This window comes from Homo sapiens, chromosome 12 (assembly GCF_000001405.40).
Source record: "Homo sapiens chromosome 12, GRCh38.p14 Primary Assembly".
In the NCBI taxonomy this organism is placed as follows: domain Eukaryota; kingdom Metazoa; phylum Chordata; class Mammalia; order Primates; family Hominidae; genus Homo; species Homo sapiens.
Window position 1 is genome coordinate 64,767,111 of NC_000012.12, and position 25,172 is coordinate 64,792,282.

General features: G+C 41.3%; 1 protein-coding gene across 8 annotated transcripts in view, besides 2 other annotated features; it reads left to right on the forward strand.

The window, feature by feature from the left end:
• TBC1D30 (TBC1 domain family member 30) overlaps positions 1–25,172 on the forward strand; it is a 121,550-nt gene that overhangs the window by 7,627 nt on the left and 88,751 nt on the right. For 3 of the 8 annotated variants that reach the window (XM_047428595.1, XM_047428596.1, XM_024448903.2), the window contains exons 2-3: positions 11,961–14,176; positions 18,771–18,935. In XM_047428595.1, the coding sequence (XP_047284551.1) occupies positions 13,699–14,176; positions 18,771–18,935 (643 nt within the window). In that variant the 5' untranslated portion in view covers positions 11,961–13,698. Of the gene's footprint in view, positions 1–11,960; positions 14,177–18,770; positions 18,936–20,249; positions 20,272–25,172 lie in introns of those variants that run through there. The other 5 variants (XM_024448904.2, XM_047428599.1, XM_047428600.1 and 2 more) reach the window with 3 other exon arrangements.
• Positions 13,461–13,740: a silencer, noted in NCBI's record as "silent region_4626". NCBI's record gives its function as "represses an Ori minimal core promoter by ATAC-STARR-seq in GM12878 lymphoblastoid cells {active_cell/tissue: GM12878}" and the evidence as "EXISTENCE:reporter gene assay evidence [ECO:0000049][PMID:35858748]".
• Positions 13,821–13,920: a silencer, noted in NCBI's record as "silent region_4627". NCBI's record gives its function as "represses an Ori minimal core promoter by ATAC-STARR-seq in GM12878 lymphoblastoid cells {active_cell/tissue: GM12878}" and the evidence as "EXISTENCE:reporter gene assay evidence [ECO:0000049][PMID:35858748]".

Consider the following 25,172-nt stretch of genomic DNA (forward strand, 5'->3'; position numbering starts at 1 on the left):
AATTTAACCTTCTACCTTAAGACACCAAAGAAAGCAAAATAAACCTAAAGCAAGCAGAAGGAAGGAAATAATAAAAATTAGAGCAGAAATTAATGAAACGAGGATAGAAAAAAATAGAGAAAAATCAATGAAAGCAAAAGCTGATTCTTTGGAAAGATTAACAAAATTGTCAAATCTTGGTGGTCCCTATCAGAGATATCCCATATCTCCATTTAAGTAGCCAGTCTGGCCCCTGCAGAAAGGATCATGGGAAATGATCATAGCCTACCACAAGCTCAACCAAGTATTAGTCCTGACGCTGTGGCCATGCTGGATTTGATACCTTTGCTAGACAAAATCAATATGACTACAGGTAAATTTTAAGCAGCCACCGATTTGGTGAATGCATTCTCTTCTGTCCCTATCAGAAAAGAGGCTCAGAAACACTTCACATTCATACAGAATGAACAACAAAAGACATCTACAGTTTTGCCCCAAGGTTATGTTAACTCATCTCTGTGTCACAATATGTAACTATGTGACTATGTGTTATAATACAGCCCTGACAAATCCAGACTGCCCAGGTATCCTGCAGAACATCTTACCCATCCAATACATTGATGACATCATGCTGATCAGGCAGGATGAAAAAGAGGTGACTAGCATCTGGACACCTTGATAAGATACACATGCTCCGGCGGGGGGGGGGGGAGGGGGGGGAGATAGGCTCTATGAAAATTTAGAAACTTGGTACTTCAGTAAAGATTTTTAGAGGTCCTGGCGTGTGTCATGACATTGCCTCCAAAGTAAAAAAAAAACTGCTGCATTTTGCATTTCTTACTAGTGAGAAAGAAGCACAGTGCTTGGTAGAACTCTTTGGATTCTGGGTGCAATACATTGTATGCTTAGGAACACTGACCAGCCCATATATGAAAGGCTGCCAGCTTTGATGGGGACTGGAGCATAAAAGTGCTCTGTAACAGGCAGGGCTGACTACATAATCTGTGGGGTCCAGTGTGAAACAAAAATGTGGGTTCCTTTGTTCAAAAAGCAGAAAAAATGTGCCATTTAAGTTACTAAAATATAAAACTTTTTCTTTAAAAATATCTTATTACTTACAAAATATAATAGGGGTTATAATAATACATGAGTAACAACATAATCTTAAATTTATATAATATAAATAATGAGACTTTATTATGTGATATCTTGATTACAAGTTTCTTCCGACTTGCTTTTCTGCAAATTCAATTGTTTTTTCTTTTAAACAGGGTCTCACTCCATCACCCAGGCTGGAGTGCAGTGGTGTAATCACAGCTGACCACAGCTTCAACCTCCTGGGCTCAAGCAATCCTCCTGCCTCAGCCTCCTGAGTAGCTGGGACTACTGGTGCATGTTATCGCACCCAGCTAATTTTTACATATTTTTGTAGAGATGAGCTCTCCCTACCTTGCCCAGGCTAATATCAAACACCTGGCCTCAAGTGATTCTCCCACTTTTGCCTCCACAAAGTGTTGGGATTATAGGTGTGAGCCACCCTGCCTGGCGTGCAAATTCATTTCCTAGGCCATCATACGTTTTCAGCAAATTCATTTTCAATTGATGTAGTTGAAAGCAATGTCAGTGACTCTTGGCAAATGCAAGATTGCAAATATTTTTTGATAACATTAATTTTGAGAAGGATCTTTCTTCTGATGTAACTGTTGCTGTTAAGACTATTTTATAGGCTGTATAACAAAGGAATAAATTTGACAAATTATTTCAAAATAGAAATTTTAGCACATGGGCCAAGTGTGGTGGCTCATGACTGTAATCCCAGCACTTGGGTAGGCTGAGGCAGGCGGATTGCCTGAGCTCAGGAGTTCGAGACCAGTCTGTGCAACGTGGCAAAACCCCATCGCTACAATAAAATACAAAAATTAGTTGTGTGTGGTTGTGTGCACCTGTAGTTCCAGCTACTTAGGAGGCTGAGATGAGAGGATCGCTTGTGCCCAGGAGGTTGAGGCTTCAGTGAGCAGTAGTTGTACCACTGCACTCCAGCCTGGGTGACAAAGCTGGACCCTGTCTAAAAAAAAATTAGAAAGAAATTTTAGTACATGTAGAACTGATGATTCCTGTAGATTTTTTTTTTTTTGAGTCAGAGTCTCACTCTGTTGCCCAGGCTAGAGTGTAATGGTGCCATCTTGGCTCACTGCAACCTACATCTCCCAGGTTCAAGTGATTCTCCTGCCTCAGCCTCCTGAGTAGCTGGGATTACAGGCGTGCACCACCACGCTCGGCTAATTTTTGTAATTTTTTTTTTTTTTGAGACGGAGTCTTGCTCTGTTGCCCAGGGTGGAGTGCAGTGGCATGATCTCGGCTCACTGCAACCTCCACCTCCCGGATTCAAGCAATTCTCTGCCTCTGCCTCCCAAGTAGCTGGGATTACAGGCACATGCCACCACGCTGGGCTATTTTTTTTTTTTTTTTTGTATTTTTAGTAGAGACGGGGTTTCACCATCTTGGACAGGCTGGTCTTGAATTCCTGACCTCGTGATCTGCCCGCCTTGGCCTCCCAAAATGCTGGGATTACAGGTGTGAGCCACCGCACCTGGCCTAATTTTTGTATTTTTAGTAAAGACAGGGTTTCACCATGTTGGCCAGGCTGGTCTCAAACTCCTGACCTTGTGACCCACCTGCCTTGGCCTCCCAAAGTGCTGGGATTACAGGTGTGAGCCACTGGGCTCGGCTGAAAAATTTTTTGAAAAATATTTAACTCTCCCTACAAATCAGTTTTAAGTTGAATTTAATTTTTAATGTAAAGTATAAATTGTAATTTTGCAATTGTAAAATTGTAACTGGCATAACAATGAAATTGTAACATTTTCTTTGACATTTCCAGTAACTTTTGAAGGTCATTTGAAAAACTCCATGGCTTCAAACTTTTATACGATTCAAAGTGCTTATTTATACATTCTATCACCGTATCTCTAATTATAAGGAAAAAGTAATTTTAATTAATACTAGGCTCATCTGAAACTTCCTATGAAAATAGCGTTCTTTTTTGTCAAATGTGAACATCTTTATATTTCTAAAGCTGTGGATATTTGATTTGCCATGTTGCAGAAGTTTTCAAAAGTAGAGACTCTACACTCTGAAGAATTGTAATAGTTCCCTGATATGGTTTATTACAATGTCTGAGTATGCTTTGTTTTTTTTTTTGGTAACAATTTACTGACAGTGTGTACTGCCTGAACTGGCAATTTCTGTCCCATCTCTCAAGCCTGAAAATTAAGATTTGTGCAAATGCCACAAAGATGGGATTTGGGAAGTAGCCAGGCAAGCTAGGCTTCCACAGCAGGTCCCAGGGCTGGCTTTATGCAGAATCCCTTTACTCTCCTATTGCTGTCACCACTGCTGCTGCTTCTCAGCTATTGCTGCTGTCAACTGGCACTGGTCCCCACCTAGCTACTTTGGGGCCCTTAAGTGCCCATGACTGCCCTTAGGTGTGCACGTGTGACAACTGCATGGTGCCTGGTGCTGCCTGCTGGACTTCCTAGCTTGGCATAATTCCACTTCTCATGCACGTGGCCATTGTCCCATATGACTGCACTTATAAAACACCAATTCCTTTTTCTTCTTTTTTTTTTTTTTGAGACGGAGTCTTGCTCTGTCGCCAGGCTGGAGTGCAGTGGTGCGATCTCAGCTCACTGCAACCTCCGCCTCCCGGGCTCAAGCGACTCCCCTTCCTCAGCCTCCCACGTAGCTGGGACTACAGGCGAATGCCACCACACCCAGCTAATTTTTTTTTTTTTTTTGTATTTTAGTGGAGATGGGGTTTCATCATGTTGGCCAAGATGGTCTCAATCTCCTGACCTCATGATCTGCCCACCTCAGCAGATCCCAGTGCTGGGATTATAGCCGTGAGCCACCACGCCCGGCCAAAACACCAAATTTAAAAACAAAATTGTTCACCATTTCAAGATGGTGATAATACAGCATTAAACCAGGAGTAAAGACCTTCTGAGAGTGGGGTTCTGTACAACATATCCATGAAGCCCATCCTGGTAGCAGGTCCTAGCTGTGGTTCAAGTAGCCCTTCTGCTTGGGCCATATACTCCAGCAGAGCCTAAGGTATTCCGTGTGTAAGATGCAATGTGGTGCAAACCCCAATAGGAGGATCACAAGGCAGGCCCATAGGGTTTTGGGGCAAGGTCATGACATCTATAGCAGGAATTACACACCATTTGAAAAACAGCTTCTAGTGTACTGAGCCCAGATCGAGATGGAACTCTTATCCACGAGGCACCAAATGACCATGCTTTCTGAACTATTCATCATGAGTTAGGTTCTCCTGGATCTACCAAGTCATTAAGTTGGTCAGGACCAGCATTAATCCTTTGTAAGCTAAAACACTGCATTTGGGAACAAGCACAAGCAGGACCAGAGGGCAACAAACAAGTGCATGAATAGGTAGCCCAGACTCCCATATCACTAGTCATAGTTACACCACTGCTTCTCTCTCAGCTCACGTCCAAGGGCCTGTATGACCAGCTGAAGGAGGAGGAAAAAGCCCCAACTTGGTTTATAGACAAAACAGCATGGTTTATAGGTGCAAGGTAGAAATGGATGATAGCTGCAATCACTCAGCATTGGCCTTGAATCATAGTAGTTTAAAAAAACAACAACATAGTAACAGGAAGAGCTTTGGGTGGTACACCTGACCATTCAGTTTGTGTGGAAGGAAAAGTGGTCTGAGATTAGAATATATATGGACTCACTGGCAGTGGTGAATGGCATTGGCTGACTGGTCATGAGCCTGGAAGGAAGAAGATCAGAAGATTGGAGAAAGGGAGGTCTGGGGTTGTGGCACGTGGATGAACATACAGGAATAGGCACAAAATGGCCAGGCGCAGTGGCTCATGCCTGTAATCCCAGCACTTTGGGAGGCTGAGGCAGGCGGATCACCTGAGGTCGAGAGTTCTAGACCAGCCTGACCAACATGGAGAAACCCTGTCTCTACTGAAAATACAAAAATTAGCTGGGCGTGGTGGCACATGCCCGAGGCTGAGGCAGGAGAATCGCTTGAACCCAGGAGGAGGAGGTTGTGGTGAGCCGAGATCGTGCCATTGCATTCCAGCCTGGGCAACAAGAGTGAAACTCTGTCTCAAAAAAAAAAAAAAAAAAAAAGGAATAGGCACAAAGTATGAAGATCTTTGTATCACATGCTTATGCCCAGCAGAAAGCATTCATGTTGGAAGAGGCACTAGACAACCAATTAGACAAAATGGCTTAGTCAATTGATATTAACCAGACTTTGTTGGTGGCCATTCAAGTGCTGGTACAATAGGCACATCACTTCCTTTATTTATTTTTTTTGAGACAGAGTCTCACTCTGTCGCCCAGGCTGGAGTGCAGTGGCGCAATCTCGGCTTACTGCAACCTCCGCCTCCCCGGTTCAAGCAATTCTTCTGCCTCAGCTTCCCAAGTAGCTGGGATTACAGGCGCCTGCCTCCGTGCCTAGCTCATTTTTGTATTTTTAGTAGAGATGGGGTTTCACCATGTTGGCCAGGGTGGTCTTGAACTCCTGACTTCATGATCCACCTGCCTCGGCCTCCTAAAGTGCTGGGATTACAGGCGTGAGCCACTGCGCCTGGCCTACATCAGTTCTTTTAAAACAATGTCACTGTGCCAGGAGTTTGAGATCAGCCTGGGCAATATAGCAAGACTCTGTCTCTAAAAAAAGAAAATCACTTTAATACAGATGAGAGACAGAGGCTTAATTTTTAGCTGATATGTATTGAGCAGCCATAAACTTTCTTTCTACTATTGCAAAGGAAAGGTTATACTCTGTCACTTGGAATCTTGTGTAATAATAATTAAGTAGTAAACTAGATACCCACAATTCCTGTAAGCATCATGACTTGAATATCATTCTGCATTAATAGTTTACTCACTGTCTACTGTGTATTAATATGCATTTCCTAAATTCTGTCTAAGGTTTGATGGCTTTAAAAAGTACTAAAATTGGGGCTGCATCTTTGCTGTTTGCAAAACTCAGCCATTCTACCCTGTGGGCTTTGGAGAGTCCAAACCAACTGAGGGTGGAAGGGATCCCCCAGCACAGCACAGCTGTTCTACCAAAACATGGCCAGACTGCTTCTTTAAGTGAGTCGCTGATCTGTTCCTCCTCACTGGGCAGGACCTCTCAACTGGGGCCTCCAGCCACCCCTGCCAGTGTTCTCTGGCCAACAGAGATTTGAAAACTTCCTAGGACAAAGTTCCTAAAGGGCAGGGTGAGCTACCATCTTTGCTATTTGGGTGACCTAGCCATTCCAGCCTCTAGGTGTTGAAGAGCCCAAGCCAACTGGGAGAGGAAGTATATCCCAGCACAGCATGGCTGCTCTACAAAAGCATGGCCAGACTGCTTCTTTAAGTGGGTCCCTGATCCCCTTCCTTTTGACTGGGTGAGATCTCCCAACTGGGGTCTTCAGCCACCTTCTACAGGTGTGTTTGAGCCAGCAACAGGTGTGCACTTCCCTGGGATGGAGCTCTCAGAGGAAGGGGTGGGCTGCCCTCTTTGCTGTTTTACAGCCTTCACTGGTGATACTTCCAGGTACTGGAAAACCCAAGGTGACTGGGACCAGGCTGCCAGCAAACCACAGCAGCCCTACAGAAAAGTGATCAAGCTGTTAAAACAAAAACAAAAACCATCCAAAGGTCAGCAACCTCAAAGATTGAAAATAGATAATCCCATAAAGATGAGAAAGAATCAGCACAAGAATGCTGAAAACTCAAAAAGGCAAAATGCCCTCTTTCCTCCAAATGACTGCATCACCTCTCCAGCAAGGGTTTGGAACCAGGCCAAGGCTGTGATGGCTGAAATGACAGAAGTAGAATTCAGAATATGGATAGGAACAAACTTCACTGAATTAAAGGAGGATATTGTAACCCAATGGAAGGAAGCTAAAAATCATGATAAAACATCATAGGAGCTGACAGACAAAATAGCCAGAGTGGAGAAGAATGTAACCAACCTGACAGAGCTGAAAAGCACACTGTAAGAATTTCATAATGCAATCACAAGTATTAATAGCATAATCAAGCAGAGAAAAGAATCTCAGAGCTTGAAGAATGTCTTTCTGAAATAAGATAGGCAGCCAAGAATAGAGAAGAAAGAATGAAAAGGAATGAACAAAACGTCTGAGAAATATGAGATTATGTAAAGAGACTGAATCTTTGACTGATTGGTGTACCTGAAAGAGATGGGGCAAATGGAACCAATTTGGAAAACACATTTCAGGATATCATCCCTGAGAACTTCCCCAACCTAGCTAGACAGGCCAACATTCAAATTCAGGAAATGCAGAGAACCCCAGTAAGATACTCCATGAGAAGGTCATCCCCAAGACACATAATTAACACATTCCCTAAGGTCAAAATGAAAGAAAAAATGTTAAGGGGACCTAGAGAGAAAAGCCAGGTCACTTACAAAGGGAAGCCCAGCAGACTAACAACAGACCTCTCAGAGGAAAACCTATAAGCCAGAAGAGATTGGGGGCCAACACTCAGAATTCTTAAAGAAAATAATTTTCAACCCAGAATTTCATATCTGGCCAAACTAAGCTTCATAAACGAAGGAGAAATAAGATCCTTTTCAGACAAGCAAATGCTGAGGGAATTCATTACTACCAGACCTGCCTTACAAGAGCTCCTGAAGGAAGCACTAAATATGGAAAGAAGGCCGGGCATGGTGGCTCATGTCTGTAATCCCAGCACTTTGGGAGGCCAAGGTGGGCACATTACTTGAGGCCAGGAGTTTGAGACCAGTCTGGGCAACATGGTGAATCCCCGTCTCTACTAAAAATACAAAAATTAGCTGGGTGTCATGTTGCACACCTGTAATCCCAACTACCTGGGAGGCTGAGGCATGAGAATTGGTTGAACCCAGGAGGCAGAGGTTGCAGTGAGCCGAGATTGCACCACTGCATTCCAGCCTGGGTGACAGAGTGAGACTGTGTCTCAAAAAAAAAAAAATATATATATATAGATATAGATATAGATATATATGGAAGGAAAAGACTGTTACTAGCCACTGCAAAAACACACTGTAGTACACAAAGCAGTGACACTATAAAACAACTACATAAACCAGCCTGCAAAATAACCAGTTAACAACATCATGATGACAGGATCAAATGTATACATATCAATAATAACCTTAAATGTAAATGGGCTAAATGCCCAATTAAAAGACACAGAATGGCAAGTTGGATAAAGAACCATGACCTAGTGGTATGCTGTCTTCAAGAGACCCATCTCATGTGCAATGACACACATAGGCTCAAAATAAAGGGATGGAGGAAAATTTACAAAGCAAATAGAAAACAGAAAAAAGCAGGGGTTGCAATCCTAGTTTCTAACAAAACAAACTTTAAACCAACAAAGATAAAAAAAGACAAAGGGGGCATTATATAATGGTAAAGGGTTCAATTCAACAAGAAGACCTAACTATTCTAAATGTATATGCACCCAACATAGGAATACCCAGATTCATAAAGCATGTTCTTAGAGACCTTCAAAGAGACTTAGAGTCCCACACAATAATAGTGAGAGACTTTAACCACCTGCTGACAATATTAGACAGATCATCAAGAAAGAAAATTAACAAAGATATTCAGGACCTGAACTCAGCACTGGATCAAATGGACCTGATAGATATCTACAGAACTCTCCACATGAAAACAACAGAATATACATTCTTCTCATTGCCACGTGGCACTTACTGTAAAATCAGTGACATAATCAGAAGTAAAACACCTCTCAGCAAATGCAAAAGACCTGAAATCATAACAATATCTCAGACAACAGTGCAATCAAATTAGAACTCAAGATTAGGAAATTCATTCAAAACTGTACAATTACATGGAAATTGAATAACCTGCTCCTGAATGACTTTTGAGTAAATAAATGAAATTAAGGCAGAACTCAAGAAGCTCTTCGAAACTAATGAGAACAAAGATATGACATACCAGAATCTCTGGGACACAGCTAAGGCAGTGTTAAGAGGGAAATTTATAGCACTAAACACCCTCATCAGATCTCAAGTTAACAACCTAATATCACAACTAAAACAAATAGAGAAGCAAGAGCAAACAAATCCCAAAGCTAGCAGAAGTCAATAAATAACCAAAATCAGAGGTGAACAAAGGAGATAGTCATGAAAAATCATTCAAAAGATGAATCCAGGAGCTAGTTTTTTTTGAAAAAATTAATAAGATAGATAGACCACTAGGTAGACTAACGAAGAAAACAGAGAAGATTCAAATAAACACAGTGAAAAATGGTAAGGGGAATATTACCACTGAACACACAGAAATACAAGCAACCATCATAGAATAGTATGAATACATCTATGCACATAAACTAGAAAATCTAAAAGAAATGGATAAATTTCTGGACACATACACCCTTTTAAGACTGAGCCAGGAAGAAATTCAGTCCCTGAACAGACCAATAATGAGTTCTGAAATTGAGGCAGTAATAAATAGCCTAACAACCAAAAAAAGCCCAGGACCAGATGGATTCACAGCTGAATTCTAGCAGATGTACAAAAAAGAGCTGATATCATTCCCACTGAAACTATTTCAAAAAGTTGAAAAGAAGGGACTCCTCCCTAACTCATTCTATGAGGCCAGCATCATCCTGAAACAAAACCTGGCAGAGATACAACAACTACAAAAAAACTTCAGGCCAAGATCCTTGGTGAACATTGATGCAAAAATCCTCAACAAAATACTGGCAAACTGAATCCAGCAGCACATCAAAAAACTCATTCACCAGGACCAAGTGGGCTTCATCCCTGGGATGCAAGGTTAATTGAACATACACAAATCGATAAATGTGATTCATCACATAAACAGAACTAAAGGCAAAACCACACGATTATCTCAACAGATGCAGAAAAAGCTTTCGATAAAATTCAACATCCATTCATGTTAAAAACTCTCAATAAACTAGGTATTGAAGTAACATACCTCAAAAAAGTAAGAACCATATATGACAAACCCGCAGCTAATATCCTACTGAAAGGGCAAAAGCTGGAAGCATTCCCCTTGAAAACAGGCACAATACAAGGATGCCCTCTCCCACTGCTCCTATTCAACATAGTATTGGAAGTTCTGGCCAGGGCAATCAGGCAAGAGAAAGAAATAAAGGGCATTCAAATAGGAAGAGAGGAAGTCAAACAATCCATGTTTGCAGATGATATGGTCCTATATCTAGAAAACTCCATCATCTCAGCCCAAAAGCTTCTTAAGCTGATAAACAACTTCAGCAAAGTCTCAGGATACAAAATCAATGTGCAAAAATAACTAGCATTCCTAAACACCAACAACAGTCATGCCAAGGGCCAAATCAGGAATGAACTCCCATTCACAATTGCCACAAAAAAATACAATACCCAGTAATACAGCTAACTAGGGAGGTAAAAGATCTCTACAAGGAAAACTACAAACCACTGCTCAAAGAAATCAGAGATGACACAAACAAATGGAAAAACATTCCATGCTCATGGATAGGAAGAATCAATATCATTAAATTGGCCATGCTGCCCAAAGCAATTTATAGATTCAATGCTTTTCCCATTAAACTACCATTGACATTCTCCACAGAACTAGAAAAAACTATTTTAAAATTCATATGGAACCAAAAAGGAGTCTTGCTCTGTTGCCCAGGCCGGAGTGCAGTGGTGCAATCTCAGCTCCCTGCAACCTCTGCCTACCAGGTTCAAGTGATTCTCATGCCTCATCCTTTCAAGTTGCTGGGATTACAGGTGTGTGCCATCACATCTGGCTAATTTTTGTATTTTTTTAGTAGAGATGGGGTTTCGCCATGTTGGCCAGGCTGTTCTCAAACTCCTGCTCTCAAGAGATCCACCTGCCTTGGCCTCCTGAAGTGCTGGTATTACAGGCGTGAGCCACTGCACCCAGCCATCAGTGGTTCTTTCTTATATCCAGAGCTTCAGGGAACTTGTGTGGGGCCTGCCAGTTTCCTGGTGGCAGTAGTGTAGGGTGAGAAAAGCGGCTGTCCTTTGCCAATACCGCTTCTAGGATTATATTTACTAAAGTTAACTTTTCTTAGGAAAGTAGGTAATTGGTTGTTTTTTTCTCTGGTTTTCATGGTATTCATTCAATTAGTTAATTAAACAAATATTTATTGAGCAGTTACAATGTGCCAGGGATTGTTCTAAGTGATGGGCATATATCAATGAACAAAATAGACAAAATTCCTGCGCTCGGAAGCTTACATTTTAGTGGCAAAAGACAGATAACAAAATAAATCAGTAGATTATATACTGTAGTATGTGGGAAGAGGGTATTATGGGAAAAAAAAGAACAAGGAAGAGAACTAAGGAAAACCTGGGGGATGGGGAGCTGCAATGTCAAATAGGGTGGTTATGGAGTGATTCACAGAGAAGCCTTTTTTTTTTTTTTTTTTTTTTTTTAAGATGGAGTCTCACTCAGTCACCCAGGCTGGAATGCAGTGGCGTGATCTCGGCTCACTGCAACCTCCGCCTCCTGGGTTCATGTGATTCTCAGGCATGGGCCACCACACCCAGCTAATTTTTGTATTTTTAGTAGTGACGAGGTTTCACCATGTTGGCCAGGATGGTCTCGATCTCTTGACTTCATGATCCGTCCACCTCGGCCTCCCAAAGTGCTGGGATTACAGGTGTGAGCCATCGCGCCCGGCTCACAGAGAAGACATTTAAGCAGAGACGAGACTTGGTGAGAGCAGAGTCATGCCAATATCTAGGGGAAGATCATTCCATAAGTACAATGATCTTAAGCGTGCTTTCCTTGTTAGTTTTTAGTTTGCCATTTTCCTCTCTTTAGATTTGGTAATGATGGGGAATGGGAAATAATTTTGAAGTTCTTATTAACTTAGAAATGTTGAATGTCAATAACCTATTGTTTTCTTGGTCTCTTTTTTCCCTTCAGCTCACTTTGAGTTTCTTTACCTGTAATTCCTGATGGAGATTCCCTAAATGAGAATAGTGCTGAAGACTAACAGTTAATCACATCTCTTCTTAGGGGGAAGAGATAAAAAGGGCTGGGAAGCCAATTAAAAAAATAGGTCCAATTTCAGTGTTTACTCCTCTGAAAGTCCTGCTCATTGCAAAGTTTGGCATACGAAGGAGGACTTGGAACTCGTTGAATGCCAGGGACAACAGGGAAAAAGACCTCAAAAAACAAAACAGCAATATAATAATGAATTCTACTCTCATTTCATACATTTAAACATTAAATGGTAACAATAGTCATTAATATAGTTATAAAACCATAAAATAATATTTCCAGTATAATTTAAAATTCCGAATACCTAAGCGAAAAGTACAACTTCTGCTTGTCTCATATTAACTCCAGTTTCAAAAAGGGCCCTTTTATTGCAGTGCTGGTGTCAAGGTACACCAGATTTCTACCGGCAGGGTCAGGCTCTATTATGAAAGTGCCTTGGAAGACAAAACTGTGCTGAACAAACACGAAACACCAGTGTTGTTCACCAGGTGTGTTGTTGCCCCTTTTGGAAGTGTGGTCAAGTATTTAATAGCATTTGACTAATATATATTCATCCATAATGAAAGCCAGACACTTTATGAAAAGTTCACTTTATTCTTTGTGAATGGACACGTTATTTAGCCTCTTCGTGCCTCAGCTCCCTCAGCTGAAAAGTGAGAATATAACGACACTTAACTGCTTTATAGGGTTAAAGTGAGGATTAAGTGGGATAATTCATGCAAATCTCTAAGAACAGTGCCTGACATACAAAAAGCGCTAAACATGTTGCCAATTATTAACTTCACAAAAATATCTACAGTGGAGCGGCAGTTCCGAGTTCTATTGAGGTCTAGTGTAAGATACATCTCTCACAGTATCTTGTAAATTTTTGATTCTACCATCATCAAAACTAGCTCAATTAATGTATCAGTTCGGTCATCTCAAGAACATTTATTAAACCCTCACTCTGGTTACATCTTGTATCAGGGAATTAGTTGATTTTAATCCAGTGCTTTGGTTTTCACTGGAGGAAAAAAGTTCACAGCGTTATTAAGTCCCAGATATTTGCCAGGTGTTCAGAGTTTTAGAAAGCTTATTGTCAGAGACTAAACTAAGAAGGCTTTTGAAGGCGCTCAGATCAGGTGGGAAAGTGAGAAGGGCTGGTATTGTGTTCCGAGTATGTCAAGAAGGAGCTCCTGGCCTGGGCCTATTGATGGGCGTTTAGAACCCTCCTGGGCATTATTTCTAGCTGGCGGCTGAATAAGAGGCAAGAGTCACCCTCTTTTTGAGTTAAATCACGTGCTTAATTAAAAGTGAAGGTGGCGGCGGCCTCAGCGCCCTCCCCCTCCGTGCTGCTGGCTTCTTCCCAACGGTGTTCTGGCCACGTCCTGCGCCTTCTCGCGCACGGGAGAGCGCTCTGGGTAGAGGCCGGGCCCGGGCAGCAGGTGGCCCCAGGTAGCTCAGTGGCGTGGCAGTCTCCTTCTCGCCCGGTCCGGAGCGGAGGGGAGCGGCTCAGGTGCCGGCTCGGGGGAGGCCCGGGCACCTCGGGGATCCAGAGCCCGCTGGCGCCGCGCCCGGGAGGGCACCACCGGCGAGGACGAAGCCGCGCCTCCTCCCGGAACTGGCCGGCGCCGCGAGGCGGGAGGAGCAGCGGGAGCCGGGCAGCCGCGCGCCGGGGACCATGGACGTCCTTCCCACCGGCGGGGGCCGCCCGGGGCTCCGGACGGAGCTGGAATTCCGCGGCGGCGGTGGCGAGGCGAGGCTGGAGAGTCAGGAGGAAGAAACGATTCCTGCAGCTCCCCCAGCCCCGCGCCTCCGGGGAGCGGCGGAGCGGCCGCGGCGCTCCCGGGACACGTGGGACGGCGATGAGGACACGGAGCCCGGCGAGGCGTGCGGCGGCCGCACAAGCCGCACGGCGTCCCTGGTGAGCGGGCTGCTCAACGAGCTGTACAGCTGCACAGAGGAGGAGGAGGCGGCGGGCGGGGGCCGCGGGGCCGAGGGCCGCCGGCGGCGCCGCGACAGCCTCGACAGCTCCACCGAGGCCTCGGGCTCCGACGTGGTCCTGGGCGGCCGCAGCGGTGCCGGCGACTCCCGCGTGCTGCAGGAGCTGCAGGAGCGACCGAGCCAGCGGCATCAGATGCTGTACCTGCGGCAGAAAGGTGAGGGCCGGGCGCAGCAGGGTCCCGGGGGCTTCCTGGAGCCGGGTTGTCCTCGCCGTCTCTGCCCGCGCTCCAGCGCGCACCTGGGCTGCTCGGCGGAGCGCTCAGATACTGTCTCTTTGGATCTGACGGTGGTACCCACCGTGGCACAGATTTATGTCCACACTTAGTTCTTAAGTTCTCCGGAGTAATTGAATCAAGCGTCAGTTGATGGAGTGGGCAGTTTCCCCGCTCTTCCCTCCTCCCATCTCCCGGTGTGTTCGCGGAGGCCCCAGGGGAGAGGCAGCCCAGATTCTAATTTCACCTGAACAGCTGTTAGGACAGGGTTGGAGGTTCTGATACGTATACCTGACCTACCTAGAGGGCGCCGCCAGAATCGAGGCGAGTCGTAGGGCTGTTCTTTCCTTTTTTTTTTTTTGTTTTTTTGTTTTTAAAGTCCGCCTTCTCTGGTCACACCACTTAGTGTTTAACTAGTGAGGCAGAATAATTCGATAATGCGGTTTCGAAGCAGAGCGTGTGAATTCTATTTCTGCCAGAGCGTACGGTTCCAGGCAGCTCACTAGGAATTTTTGTTGTTGTTGTTTTGTTTTCTTTTTTTCCTTCTCGGTGGCAGGTTAGTGGAGGGCCCTAGAGTGTTGAGGTTTATTACAGAATTTAACTGCTGGTACCTTCAGTTGGCATGGAGAGGTCGACCTGAGAAAATGGCCTTGGCTTTCAGGGAGAGAGGCTAATTTGGTGTTTCTTTTGTTATGAGACTCTGATGCTCGTGTCTTGAGCTCGTGTCACACTTTTTTTTTTCATCTGGTCATAATAGCTTGCCTTTCAGGCAGTAACACAGTTATTAGAGTTGTCTTTTTTGGTATAGAAATATCAAGACCTCCATTTACAAAATGAGGTGACGTATGGAAAACAGATGCCGAGCCACCATAACATTTCTTGACAGTAATGTCCTTGGGCTGAGTTACCAGGGGAGGGAGGAAGGAGAGTCTCCCATCTCCTCACTGTATTAAAAAAAAAAAAAACCTAGGAAAAGAATAAATCTGTCTGCTTTCTCAGACCTACGTAAACAGCTTTTAGCTTCCTCTTTTGACTTCCTAGTGAAGATTTTTTTTTTTTTTCCCCAGCTGATTGTTACAGATAGCTTCCAGGTTCCTCCCCCTGCCTGGGACTTTGGCTGTAGCTGTGCCATTTCATTTTATAGAATTATTTGGTTGTTCTCAGAGTGTCTGTGTATGCCACAAGTCCCATAGGGCAATAGTTCTTTCAGACTCCAACAGAATCAATTTTGAAGAATTATGATTTCTCTTTTTACAAGGTTTTACATTTTTCATCACCGAGGGAATTCTGGGGATTAGTAATTTCCTTTTTGAAGAGGAAAATTGGCAGACTAAAGTTTAAAGAAGTAGTAACGGTACAGCTAACTATGCAAGTGGATTTCATATGAGTGGCCACACAACTAACCATCCACAAGCCCTGTAATAGTTCGTTTTGCCTGTTCGGTCTTATTGCATAGCTAGTTGCTGGTTAAACCTTTCTTCCCTTGTAGTCAACCCTATTAAGATGAACAAAATGCCATATCATAATAGTCCTATACACACATATGCGTGCTTACGTGTGCACACATACACACACTAACATGCTCCCTCTCCCCTTTATTGATAACATCATTCGCGTGCTAAGATTAAAGTATCAGGTGATGATACAGCTGTCTGCGTAAAGAATGCTGCTTATCAGGTTATTTGATCTTTTTCTCAGGCTCAAAAAATATTCCCCCCAATATAACTACTCTGCATTCAGTAAGAATGTCATACAATACTGATAGCCTGTGTATTGTCTCCTCTCCCTGCCAGGGATTTTGCTGTAGCACTTATTTAGCTATATATTTAACATGTGTAGGTCCTTTAGGTGAGGCACCAGAATGGTTTCTCAGGACATCTGGGCTCTCTTCAGTATTTCCTTGGTTAAGGGGATGAATTTTGGAGTCAGACTCCTGGGTTGATATCCGGCCGCAGTTCCTTACCAGCTGTGTGACCTTGGACAAGCTATTTAACATCTCTGTGTCTCACTTTCTTATAAATAGGGATAATAATAATACCTACCTCAGAGGGCTGTGGTGAGAATTACATAAGTTAGAGTGTATGAAGTGCTCAACAGATGTTAGATATAACTTTTTATCATATACCCTGGAATTCCTTAGGACACTGAGCACAGGTTGTGAGTTGACAATGTCCTTATTTTTCCTCAGTTATTTAACACTGTGTAAGAGGCTATGGCCGATGTCATGGAGCATTCAAAGATGAAAGAGACCTGTTTCCATCCCCAAGAGGCTTCTATACCAGCAGATATTGCTGTAAAAGACATTTTCACCCTCAACTCTGAAAAAATTTTCCCATATTGAACAATAAATGTAATTCAGAGAACTGGAGTTGTAGGCACCTTAGGGATCACTGGAAATGAGATAATGTAAGAACCCTTTTGTGGAGGAAAAGTATAATTTAAATGTTTTGTGATTATATTCCTACCCCTTTTATTTCTAGAAGGAAAATGTTGATTTGGTTCTTTGGTTTCACCATGTTGGTCAGGCTGGTCTCAAACTCCTGACCTCAGGTGATCTGCCTGCCTCGGCCCCCTGAAGTGCTGGGATTACAGGTGTGAGCCACCGTGCCCAGCCCAAAATATTGAAATATTCAGAGAAAGATGTTTGTTCTATCTGAAGGCATCTAGGAATGAAGAGCCTCTGGTTGCCTCTTGTAGGCTTTTTCTCATATTTAATCATATTTTCATTTAACTTAAATGTTCTCTTTTCATTATATCCTACTATGTTTAAAATTAGGGGGACAGGAAGAACTAGCCTTTGCCCTCTTCTTCATGGTAATTCCTTATTTTTACTTAAAGCGTTATTTATGTTAGTGTTTATAAAGACCATACCCATTTGTTTCTCAGCATAATCCTGTATGCTAGGCATAATTTGAGACTTGGAGCACACTTCCTTGCCTAAAAATCACTCAGAGAGTTGGCTGATCCAAAAGCAGTCCTTTTTAACTCAGGGCCAAATGCATTTTCCATGGTGAGGTCAGGTTTGAGAACCCTGCATTTGTTTGTTACAGACCCCAAAAGTTGACTTTGATCTCTAGAGTGCATTTCTACTTTTGAGCATTTATTTTCTTCTCTTCTGATTCTCTTTAGTTTCTCCATATCCCTTTAAAAATGAGTAGATCCAAACCCCACAGAGAACCTCTAATGGGGGGCTAGCTAAGGTTAAGTTGAGTGGAAGGCTTTGCCTGCCTACTAGATCATGCTCTAGTGACTAATCATATCAAATGTGACCAAAAAAAACCTCCTCCCAAATCGTAATGATCATTTATATAAAGACAGTAGACAATTCTGGTTCCCAAATTTGTTTTGACCTATAGAAAAACTGCTGTTAAGGGGAGGGAGAGCATTAGAACAAATACCTAATGCATGTGGGGCTTAAAACCTAGGTGATGGGTTGATGGGTGCAGCAAACCACCATGGCACATGTATACCTGTAACAAACCTGCATACTCTGCACATGTATCCTGGAACTTAAAGTAAAATAAAGTAAAAAAAAAAAAACTGCTGTTGTGAATATTAGTTTTATGAATGTAGAATTATTGTAATTTATCTGTGTAAAGGAAATTTATTTTCTACCATATTTGAAAAATTGCTGAGGCTCTAAGATGAAATATTGTACCTCTAAGACAAAATGTTTTTAGGCTATTGGAAGACTGGATATTCAAAACAAAATCAGTATTGCCACATTCATCTACATTACAAAATGTGGTAAAATTATTTACTTTTAGCTCATCATTTGTAAACATAGATGAGTACTTTAAAGACTTTTTTTTTTTTTTTTTCTTTGAGACGGAGTTTCGCTCTTGTTGCCCAGGCTGGAGTGCAATGGCGCGATCTTGGCTCACTGCAGCCTCCTCCTCTCGGGTTCAAGCAATTCTGCCTCAGCTTCTGGAGTAGCTGGGATTACAGGCATGTGCCACCACTCCCAGTTAATTTTGTATTTTTAGTAGAGATGGGGTTTCTCCATGTTGGTCAGGCTGGTCTCCAACTCCTGACCTCAGGTAATCTGCCCTCCTTGGCCTCCCAAAGTGCTGGGATTACAGGTGTGAGCCACCACGCCTGGCCTTTAAAGACTTTTTTTTTTTTTTAATTAGCTGTTAGGTTTATTATTAATGTAACAGACTAAAAAAGATTCTTTTCTAGCAAGCTTACCATCTGAACACTTCAGTGGTACAAAATATACATGCCAGTTTTCAGGCAATGAAAAGTAAATTTGCAGCCAGAGCTAGATATGGTAAAAGTAGGAGTTTTTGCTCCATGTTACAGATAGGCTTAAGGATAAATTTACCTTACAGTATCTGTCTCATGGACAGGGCAGATAAATGAGTGACTTATTTGATCGGAATGTCCGAGCTGAATGCATACATGTAATCTTGAGTGAAAACCTAGAATTAGTTGGTTTAAATGGATGTTCTATTTATCTTTGGACTAATATCACACTGGAATTTGTATTCCTCTCAAGGTATTAATCGTTATTCTTATTTTTCTTTACTGATAGACGCTAATGAACTGAAGACGATCCTTCGAGAGCTAAAGTACAGAATTGGCATCCAGTCGGCCAAGTTACTTCGGCATCTGAAGCAGAAAGATAGGCTTCTGCATAAAGTGCAGAGGAACTGTGATATTGTGACTGCCTGCTTGCAGGCTGTGTCACAGAAGAGAAGTAAGTACTGGAATTGGGTTACTTCTTTTGCCACATGCAACTAGAATGTTAGGAAAGCTGAGCCAACAGTCTGTGTTTGTGAATATATTGAGAAGTTTTAAATGCAAGCTTATACCCTCAGAACTAAGAACAAGGAACAACTCAGACAGTTTCCTATTTTTCAGTTAAAATGTATACTTCATGTCTAATGTTACAACCTTAGATTTATTATTCTAGATTTGAAGTAGTACTTTACTTTGACAATAATTTTACCTAATGCTGAATGATGATTACAATTTTATTTTATTTATTTATTTATTTATTTGAAACAGAGTCTCACTCCGTCACCCAGGCTGGAGTGCAGTGGCGTAATCTTGGCTGAATACAACCTCCGCCTCCCAGGTTCAGGCAATTCTCCTGTCTAAGCCTCCTGAGTAGCTGGAACTACAGGCGCCCGCCACCAGGCCTGGCTAATTTTTGTATTTTTAGTAGAGACGAGGTTTCACCTTGCTGGTCAGGCTGGTCAGGCTGATCTCAAACTCCTGATCTCAGGTGATTCACCCTTCTTGGCCTCCCAAAGTGCTGGGATTACAGGCGTGAGCCCCTGCGCCTGGACAAATTTTTATTTTTAAAACAGCATCACTGGCTGGGTGTGGTGGCTCACACCTATAATCCCAGCACTTTTGGAGGCCGAGGCTGGTGGATCACCTGAGGTCAGGTGTTTGAGACCAGCCTGGCCAACATGGTGAAACCCCATCTCTACTAAAAATTAGCTGGTCGTGGTGGCTGGCACCTGTAGTCCCAGCTACTCAGGAGGTTGAGGCAGGAGAATCACTTGAACCTGGGAGGCAGAGGTTGCAGTGAACCGAGATCGCACCATTGCACTCCAGCCTGGGCGACAAGAGCGAAACTCCATCTCAAAAAAAAAATAAATAAATAAAAATAAAAATAAATAAATAAAACAGCATCACACAGACATAACCTAAAAGGCATGTCCTTTTTCTCTTATTCTGTGTTGCTACAGTAAGTGAATTAAATAATTGATTTAAAGAAATCGATTCTTGTAACAGGACCTTAACAACTTGCTCTGAAATCTGAAGATGGCAACATAGTTTAGCAAATGTAACCTATCTCTTGCATAATCATAACTAAGAGCTGTGTGGGAGCTGTGTGGTTTGTTAATCAATTAAAAATAAATTGTTAAATTGCTGATACACATTAAATACTAGGTATAAAACCTTGTGAATTAATTTTAAAATTCTCCATGCAATAGCCTTATGTTTTATTCTGCTAACATTTAACTATTTTTGTTTTGCATTCTTTATTAACATGCAGCATGGCAGAACAGTATGCTCAGGTATGGTAAATATAGGTACAATGATGTTTTTGATAAAATGCCTGTGACAGCTTTTCAGGCGATTGTGGAAGTTGCCTTTTGTTGCTCTTTCACTCTGTCACATTTTGTACGTAAATTGACACCTCCTAGAGTGCTTTTTTTTCAAAATTGCAAATTAAGATGTGTTTGCTTTCATGAAACAATTTTTGGGGTTTGATTAGTTTCTGGTAATGAAATTAATCGCTTAAATTTCATTCTTATGTTTATTATTAAAAGAAAATCCTGTATTTTCTTGCTTCTCTTCTATTATATTGCTGTTTGTTATCCCTAAAGTATTATTTATGCTGTTTATTAAAGAAGGTTTTACCTAATAGATATTAACAGATTGCTGCAGGCCGGGCATGGCGGCTCACGCCTATAATCCCAGCACTTTGGGAGGCCAAGGTGGGCAGATCACCTGAGGTTAGGAGTTCGAGATCAGCCTCGCCAACACGGTGAAACCCCATCTCTACTAAAAATATAAAAATTAGCTGGGTGTGGTGACACATCTGTAATCCCAGCTACTCAGGAGGCTGAGGCAGGAGAATCACTTGAACCCAGGAGGCGGGGGTTGCAGTGAGCCAAGATTGCGCCACTGCACTCCAGCCTGGGCAACAGAGTGAGGCTCTGTCTCAGAAAAAAAAAAAGAAAGAGTGCTGCTTGATTATCATAATAATATCACTGTCGTTCATACAAACAGGAATGCGATTGAGTAGACTGACTTTGAATAGGCTTTTCTCCAGAGTCAAGCACTTGTCTGACATAGCTAGAGAAGGAAGAAGGGTGTGTAGGGGTGTGTGTGTGTGTGTGTGTGTGTGTGTGTGTGATTTGTGTGTAGCTATTGAAAGGTGGCATGTATTATAAGTATTTGATAGTTTTCCATTAATTCTGATTGATTTACACATGTCAAGTTAAAAAATATTTTCCCCTTCTATTATGAGATACCTTGGTTTTGATTCTTCTCCTTTCAACTATGTTTATATCCTACTCATTATTATTGTTTGTACCAGCAGCTGAAAGCACAGAATGGTAAATGCATGGGTTTTTGATGTGTGGGAAAGTATAAGGGAGGGTGGAACAAGTTCAGGAGATAGAGAGGTATATCAGGTTAGTCCAGGGTCACAGATTGGTGGATTCTATTGTTAGTTACTAGGGACTGATTATCATTTGGAATTTAAATTTACTTGATTTATATAAGGACTGGCATTTATGTCATTTTAGAAAAATGTGCCCACAAGCGCTCACCGTAATTCATGAATTTGTCAATGCATCCTTCCTATGTATTTTAGAGTTTGTCTCTTTAATTCCAGCCAGGGTTTTGCATTTCAGAGAATACAGGGTTGTCTGGCACCTTTCCTGAGAGTTCAATTCTCTCTTTGCTAATAAGACCCTATTCAATGGAACAGAATGTTTTTTGGTAAGAAATAACTGCATTAGAATTATTACTTTCATCACAGGATACTGTATTTTGATATAGACACTGTCAAAAATTTGACTACATGGTTATTTACCCATCTTAAAACTCCAGAGGTTAGATATTTCATGACTAAATCCCTGATTCCAGTAGTTGCATGTTTTGCCTCTTTCCTCAAAGTCAACTAATTCTAAAGAATTGAGATTTTTTAAAAAAACTGAGATTTCACTATCACACTGAATAACATATTGACTTTCTTGTATTTAGTTTGCAGAAGTTCAGATAATCCCCATTTTGGCCTCCACATAGATTTGATGCTTATGATTCTTTGCATAAGTGACTTTTCCCCTTCTTCTTCCTTCTTCTTCTTCTTTTTTTTTTTTTTTGGAGACAGAGTCTCACTCTGTCGCCCAGGCCCAGGAGTGCAGTGCTGCAGTCTTGGCTCATTGCAATCTCTGCTTCCCGGGTTCAAGCGATCCTCTTACCTCATCCTCCCGAGTAGCTGGAACTTAGGTGGGTGCCACTATGCCCAGCTAATTTTTGTATTTTTTGTAGAGACACAGTTTCACCATGTTACCCAGGCTGGTCTTGAACTCCTGGGCTCAAGCAATCTGCCCTCCATGGCCTCCCAAAATGCTGGGATTACAGGTGTGAGCCACCTCACCTGACATATTTTTCTCCTTCTATAACATGCTATAGAATAAAAACTATTTTATTGTTTTATTAAACTGGGTTATTTCTTGTTAATACACAAAAGGGAATATAGTAATTTTGAAATAAGAGTCACAAGTAAATATAATTAATGAACCAAAATGGCTAGATCATTTTTATTTCTAACACAAATGACATAGCTACTTACATTTTATGGTTTCCTACACCAAGCCTTATAGTAGTATCTCCTTGTTTTAAAACTGGGCTGGGAATAAGAAAAACAAGATCAATATTGTATTATAGAAGATCATACTTTTTTTTCCCCTATATTTAACCATTTAAGGATAACCATGGTATAACCAATTTAATACTGAAAATTGATAATAAGAGCAGCAGCAGCTGTTACCATTCACTGAGTACATGCTTTATGCCAAACTTGCTTTTATTTCTCACAGCAACTTCAAAATGGTATGTAGCTTTAGGCATATTTTATTAGGAAACTGATTCAGAAAGGTTAAGTAATTTGGCAAGCGTCACACAGCTGGTAAGTATTTGAGATAGGATCTGAAGATAGGTATCTCAAAAGTCCACACTTTACATTATAAACTGTGACATAAGAGGGTTCTACTTTTTCTTAGCAGTTAGATAGATAACTGTAATGTTATTGGAATACAACTGAGCAAGAATAAATTTATAACATGAGTTATAAATACAGAGTTTCTGGTTTATTAGAACGTGTGGCTTCAGCATAGTTTGCATATGAAATCAGTACTTTATCTTTCTTGGGCCAAATGGATTATTGAACAAATGTAGCTTAGTGTGCAGGAAAATACACCTAAAAGCTTCAAGGCACAATTAGAAGAATAAAAAGAGTATTTGGTCAGAAGGTTGATTCTGATGTTAGGATTTTTAAGTGGCTTGCTTAACCTGTTTTTCCTGAAAGCAGAAGGAAGGTCATATTAATTATTAGCATTGTATAGTTTTGCTATTTCCTGCATTGGTATAGTAAATGTTTAAGTTATGCTGATTGAATTTGTGAAGTAGTTTTACAGATCAAGTGATAAAATCTAGCTGTCACTTGAAAACTGAAAAAAAACATGAACAAAATGTGAATATATGCAGAAATATTATCTTAGCTTTGCTGATCAATATAGAAATTTTAGACAGCTTACAGCCTAATTTTATTAATGTGTCCACTCTCACATCCTGATAATAATGTGATTAAATCTTACTATGATAAATGCCTAAAATGCCTGGTAGAGACTGATGGTTTGTGAAATAGGTGAATAATCTTTTTCTTTTCATAATGAGTGTCTTCTCTTCATTAATACCTTGTCCTCTGTGGCAGGAAAAAGAATTTGTGTGGTCCTGAGTTTGGTGGCACTAAAACTCAACATTTTCCACTAAAAGACAATTCTCTTTGTAAAATTATAAAAATAATCCACCCAGCCGGCATTTTCACTCCTAGATTTCTACCCGAGAGAATTGAAGACATATGTCCCCACAAAAACTTGTACAAAAATGTTCATAGCAGCATTGTTTATAATAGCCAAAAAGTAGAAACAATTCAAATGTCTATCAATGGATGAATGGATATATCAAATGTGATTATTATTCATATAATTGAATATTATTCAGCCATAAAAGAATGAAGTATTGACTCATGTTACATCATGGATAAACCTTGAAAACATTATTCTAAGTGAAAGAAGCCAGACAAAAAAATTACCATATTGTATGATTCCATTTGGCAAATATGTAGAGACAAAAAGTAGATTAGTGGTTGCTAGAGGCTGGGGGTAGGGGAATGGGCAGTGACTACTAATGGTATAGGTTTCTTATTGGTGTGGTGAAAATGTTCTGGAATTAGTTAGTGGTGATGGTTGTACAATTTTATGGCATGTGAATTATATAAAATATGATAAAGTGTTAAAAATGTAATATACCCATGGAAGCTTTGGAAAATACAGAAATGTAAAAGGAAGAGAAAAAATTATTTTTTAAAGACAGTCCCTTAGAATATTCAAGTGATGTTTTGTTGTTGTTGTTGTTTTGGTTTTGGTTTTTTGAGACAGTGTCTTGTTGTGTCACCCAGGCTGGAATGCAGTGGTGTGATCACAGTTCATTGCAACCTATGCCTCCTGGGCCCAAGTGATTCTCCCACGGCCTCCCGAGTAGTTGGGACTGCGGGTGTGTGCCACCACACCTGGCTAATTTGTGTGTGTGTGTGTGTTTGTGTGTGTGTATATATATATATGTTTTTTTTAATATTTTTGTAGAGATGGAGGCATGGAGGGGGTGGTGGGGGAAGGTCTTGCTATACTACTCAGGCTGGTCTCAAACTCCTGAGCTCAAGTGATCCTCCTGCTTCAGCCTCCCAAAGTGCTGGGATTATAAGGCGTAAGCTAACGTACTTGGCCTGTAGGAAGGTTTTAAATTATCGATCCAGCTTTTAAAATAACTACAGGATTATTTGTATCTTCTGTTTCTTCTTGTGTCATCCCTGGTGTATTATACAGAATTTGCCATAACTTTTCACATTTGCAGGCATAAAATTATTAAGAATATTTTGGGTGTTCCTTTAGTTTTTCAAGATGTTAAAACAATTTCACTGATTTTAAACAGGAATTCACTTACTACTTAAAATATCTTTTATTATAGAATGTATCATAAACAAGAGAATGTAATACATATATGTATTTTTTAAAGAATAAGTAAACAAAGGTGTATACATGTGGATATTCACCTGTCAAGCTTGAGTAACAAATATCACTGGCATGTTAAAAGCTCCCTGTGTGCTCCTTCCTGGCTGAAATCT